At 44.6% G+C, this 3,431-nt stretch overlaps 1 annotated feature.

Annotated features, from left to right (window-relative positions):
- Positions 385-679: an enhancer, noted in NCBI's record as "tiled region #7745; HepG2 Activating non-DNase unmatched - State 20:ReprD, and K562 Activating DNase unmatched - State 8:EnhW". NCBI's record gives its function as "activates a minimal TATA promoter and a strong SV40 promoter by Sharpr-MPRA in HepG2 and K562 cells {active_cell/tissue: HepG2 | K562}" and the evidence as "EXISTENCE:reporter gene assay evidence [ECO:0000049][PMID:27701403]".

Consider the following 3,431-nt stretch of genomic DNA (forward strand, 5'->3'; position numbering starts at 1 on the left):
GCTTCGAGTTTGTTTTTTTAATCATTTCCATTATTTAAACACAAATGTAAATATCCACGATATATAATATTGCTTTATGTGTTTTAGAATTTTATGTAAATTTCTCATACTATAAATATCATTTTCCACTTACAGGTTTTTGAGATATATGTAATGTTGGTATATGTAGCTTCTTATTCTCATGGCTCTAAGAATTAAATGAGATAATCCTTGTATGCAATTAGAAGTGTCTGGAATGTGATAAACAAGGTTAGCTGTCATTATCAATGTCACTAATCATTATTTTTATTATCACCATTCCCACCAAAGGGATCAGAGGTTCACACATGACATTGTTGAGGAGCAGCAAAATGGAGCCACGATTTCTTTTAGGATAACAGGAGCCATTTTCCCTGCTCTGAGGTATGTTTGGATGGAAACATTGGGCTCCTTGTCAGCTGTTCCCTGGTGCTGTGCACAGCTTGCAGGAACGGCTCTGATTTTGTTTAATGACTCTGACAAGAACGCCAGACTTGGCCATGTGACTTGCTCTAGCCAATGAGACAGCAGCAAACATTATGCAAGCAGAAACTTGAAAAGTGCTTGCTCATTGGCCTTGCCCTCTCACTGCTCTTGGTCAGACCCATCACCATGAGAACAAGCCCATGCTAGCCTGTTGGATGATGAGAGACCCTGCAGAGAAAAGGAAGGTGCCCCAGCTGACATCAGAAAGCCCTGTGCCCATCCAGCAGCCAACTTCAGATGTACGAGTGAGTTCCAGCTGAGATAAACCAAACTTGGCGAAATCGCAGAACTGCCCACATGAACCTACCCCAAACTGCCATCCCACAGAGCTGTGAGCTCAATAAATAGTTGTTGTATTAAGTCACAGAGTCTGGGGTGGTTTGTTGTGCTGCATAAGCTAGCTGATACACCTGGTTATCTGACATCTCCAGCAATTACTGACCTGTATTTGCAGACTTAACTCTTGGTTACATGACCAGAAAACAATATTCCACGTGCATGAACCACAATCCACAAGAGACAGGCTCCCTTTCAGAAACATCAAACGATGTTCAACATTTGGCAGGTCTGAAAAGCTCTCATCCATACCATGAGTGTATAAAACATGCCTTGACCCATGATAATCACCAAGGGGCACTTTCTGGGGGTTGGTGCTATCCCCCCCAAATAGCAGACTCTTCCCAAGGGAATCACAGGTGATGTATAGGTGTTTCTAACTGGTCCTAATCCCAAATCCATGTCTGAAACCTCACCTTATACCTACATATTAACTTCATGGGTGCAAACACCACACCTGGTCATACCAGAAACCAGAGTTCCCAAAAAGGGTAAATGTCCTTCTGTACACAGCAAAGGCATGTTGGGCCATGCCTAGAGGAAAAGGAGGCAGAGGCTGCAGAGCTGGAAGCTCAGCTGTTTTGAGGCCCTGGGCTGACAGATCTTTGTCCACAGCCTTGCCAGGAAATGCCCCACAGTCCCACATTTGGAAGTGAACAAGCTGGAAGGGTGATTTTCCAACTGGACACAGCTGGTGACGATCAAGATAGTGACCCTGGATAACTGCCCTCAGACTCTGCAAGGCCAATTCTCACCATAGGTGGAGTTATTTGCCTGCATAAGCGATGGTCAGGCCCTCTCTCCTGCCCCCAGACACAGAGGAGGGACCATGCGCTTCCTGACATTGTGGCTTCAAATGCCACAACCACAAGGGCCATCCACTTAGGGACAACATTGGTGTCTGCCTCAGGAAGTCCCTTCCCACTCCACCTGCCTGGGAACACGCCCTCTGATGTGACAGCTTCTGGACTCATGTTATAAACAAGTCCTTTTTTAAGGGCCTGAAACATTGGAATAGAACCACCACCAACCCTGGAAAAAAAATGCAAATCCAAAATACCAAGTACTATACAAAGGTGCTCTAATTATTCTTGGTTCAAAATGATTCACAAGAGGAAAGGGAACCGACTCCGTATGTACGCGTGTCTATCTGAGAAAGAATAAGAGACGCTTTCTCTATGCGCATGCTTCCCAAAAATTAATGAATGAAATCTCTCATCCTAGTCCTTTACAGATTTATCTAAGGTTTCTTCCTGTGTTTGAATTCCTCTATTAGAAAAAAATTAATCAAAGCAATACATCCCTATGGCTAGAAATTAAATATTTACGGACCTATTATAGAAAGCAGTAATTTGCCACCCCCTCTCTCCACACCAACGCAACTCTCACAGTGTAATTCCTGATGACTACCTAGTATAACTCTAAGTAATATATTTATACCATTCTTTCTTGATTTATCAGCTCTGACATTACTTCTTCCCAAATTCCTCTAAAGGTTTTGAAAGATTACTTTGATTCCACCCCCCCCTTAGAAACATCACACCTTTAAACAATGCACTTAAACCTCAATTAATTGAGCTTTTCTATTATAACTTTTGTCTCCCTACTGCTATTGATGAACTTAACTCCCTTCTACCTCCCCACCCTTCTTTCATTTTATACCTTTCTATGTCTGTTAGCTGCATCATAACTTTCACCTGTAATTAACTCCTTAATTGCCAGGCACTATTCTCTGTACTGGGGATACAGCCTTCGAGAAGACAATAACATTCCTTCTGTCATGGAAATGACCCTTTAAGGGAAGCAGAGAATAAAAATATAAGGATGTGCAGAAGATAATTTCTGAGAATGAAAACACACTGGATATAAACAAACAGTCACGTGCAAGAGACTATACATAGAAGCAGGAAGCTCAAAACTAACTGGGGGCCGGGTGTGGTGGCTCACTCCTATAATCCCATCATTCTGGGAGGCCGAGGCAGATGGATCACCTGAGGTCAGGAGTTCGAGACCAGCCTGGCCAACATGGTGAAACTCCATCTCTACTTTAAAAATAGAAAAAGGTAGCTGGCCATGGTGGCACGTGCCTGTAATCCCAGCTACTCAGGAGGCTGAGGCAGGAGAATCACTTGAACCCGGGAGGCAGAGGTTGCAGGGAGGCAGAGATGGTGCCACTGCACTCCAGCCTGAGTGACAGAGTGAGACTGCCTCAAACAAACAAACAAAACACCTAACTGGGGAGGTCACAGAAGGTCTCGCCCAGCAGACGGCACTTGAGCTGAAGCCCTGTGAATCTTAAGGTTGTCCAGTCTGACTGTGGGAGCAGACACTGTTCCTGGTCCTGAGGGAGCATGTCTTCCCCCGGTCTCACATAGTTCCATCTCACACATGCACTGATCAGCAATCTGCCAAGTAAGGGAGACACTCTGCAAACACCTGGGGTGCTGTGTGTAATTCTCTTCTCTCTGGGACTCTGTCCTGAGAAATCTGCCTACCTTGGTTTTCCCAGGCTCTCAGCCAGTGTCCTCAACTCACGGATTCTGCCAAGTTCCCTGTCTCGGCACTGCGACCTGAAAACTCACTGGGTCAAT

Source organism: Homo sapiens, chromosome 20, assembly GCF_000001405.40.
Source record: "Homo sapiens chromosome 20, GRCh38.p14 Primary Assembly".
NCBI lineage: Eukaryota > Metazoa > Chordata > Mammalia > Primates > Hominidae > Homo > Homo sapiens.